Here is a 2,126-nt window from a genome sequence, read left to right as displayed (position 1 = left end):
TAGAGATGGGGTTTCTCCGTGTTAGCCAGGATGGTCTCGATATCCTGACCTCGTGATCCGCCCGCCTCGGCCTCCCAAAGTGCTGGGATTACAGGCGTGAGCCACCGCGCCCAGCCCAAGAGACACAGGGTTTTATCAGGGTCTTACATACAAGGGAGAGAGTCTGGTGGTGGCTGGACTGGACAGGATAACTGCATGGGCCAGTGGCACCGGCTGGCCCAAAGAACCACCCTGCATACAGCCCAGTGGCGGCAAGCTGGGCAGGAACACTGCAACGACTTACAAACAGCATGCAGTTTATATAGCATTTTCACTTAACACCCTCCCCTTAATGGCCTCTAACTGGGTGGGTTCGTTTAACCCAAAACTCAGGGCCCCATCCCCTGTATGGCCCATGTTCCATGGGATGGGCCAGGGGCTCAGATGTTCCTCATAGACAAGGAATGAAAACTTCAGGTCAGCCGCTCCCAGATTCCCTGTCTCAGAACACACATTCAGGTGTGTCTGCCATACCAGGTCATTTTAAGGGTATGCTTATATTATTGCTATCAGATGCATTTACCCTACACTTGGAAATAAACAGTGGCCTCATAACAAAGACTAATAATGCTTTTTATTGCATTAAATCTTTTATCAACCCTAAATTTAAATAGGGTCGTGTAAGATAACTAAAGAATAAAAGACACAGTAGGCTCTCTGGTACCTAAATCCCTACATTAAAACTCACGAGCCACCTATTAGGTTGGTGCAAAAGTTATTGTGGGTTTTGGCATTACTTTTAATAGCAAAAACTACAATTACTTTTGCACCAAAAATGTTAGACTAAGCATCTTTACTAACTTGGATTTTGCCACTAATCACACAAGAAGTCCCCAAATTCCTAAGAGCCACAGAAGAGGCAGCATAGCAGAACAGTTAAGAGCATAGGTTTGGAATCAAATAGATCTGACTTTGAAACCAGGCAAAACCACTAACTAACCTTGTGACTTTGTTCAGGTTCTTTAATCTTGCTGCAAAGTTTCCTCAGCTGAAAAGTGAGTTAAAAAATTAGATGAGATAATATCCTCACAGCCACTAGATATTGTTCTAGAATTGTTTTATCCAGCTCTGTCATTCAAATATATATTAGAGTTCTTAGCTTTGTATATGCCAGTGTCTCAGTTTATGACTTTGGTAATTTGTCTTTAAAAAAAAAAAAGGAAGAAGAGGGCTAGGAGTGGTGGCTCATGCCTGTAACCACAGGACTGTGGAAGGATCTCTTGAGGTCAGGAGTTTGAGACCAGCCTGCTGGGAAACATAGTGATACCCCATCTCTACAAAAAGTAAACAAAATTTAGCCAGGCATGGTGATGTGCGTTTTTAGTCCCAGTTACTCAAAACACTGATGTGAGAGGATCACTTAAACCCAGGAGTTTGAGGCTGCACTGAGCTATGATCACATCACTACACTCCAGCCTAGTCAAACCATGTCTATTAAAAACAAAAAACAAAACAACAACAACAAAAAAACAGGTGAGGTTGGCAAAATAATTTCACAAATTATCAGGCAACCAAAAGCCAATAAAATCCAGCCTGACCTTCACATAAGGCACAAATTCTTTGGTTTGTCCCTTTAAGAAAGCAGAGCTCTGAGTCCACCAGTCAGCCAAAAATAACATAAAACTCCAACTCTAGCTCATTCCTATCAGAGAGACTTATTGCTTTCAACCCAATTTATCATTCTATGTTACAAATCAGCATCTCTACAGCATGTTTCGAATTAATTAAAAGACATTCCTTTCCATCCAAGGTATAATCAAGGCAATTTACTTCTAAACATAATCAAGAAATTATATAAAGGAAGATTAAACATATGAGGAATTTTTTCATGTGTGAAGTTAATTGATTTTCATATCTTTTTTTTTAGGTTTTAAATGAGAATTCTAAAAGAATGGATTTTCCAAAATATCTCAACTCAGCAGAGTTCTGCAATACTTCTTCAGTGAAAATCACAATTTCCACTGAAATAGCTCCCAGGCTATGGGGAACTGTGGGACACTCAGGTAGTAAATTTATTATGGGGCTGCCAGTAGCTACATTCAGAGCTCCTGGAACCCTTGACCAGAGCTCCTTCAGAATACTCAGAA

The sequence above is a fragment of the Homo sapiens genome, chromosome 11 (assembly GCF_000001405.40).
Source record: "Homo sapiens chromosome 11, GRCh38.p14 Primary Assembly".
NCBI classification, from domain to species: Eukaryota; Metazoa; Chordata; class Mammalia; order Primates; family Hominidae; genus Homo; species Homo sapiens.
Note: the sequence above shows the minus strand (reverse complement) of the source record.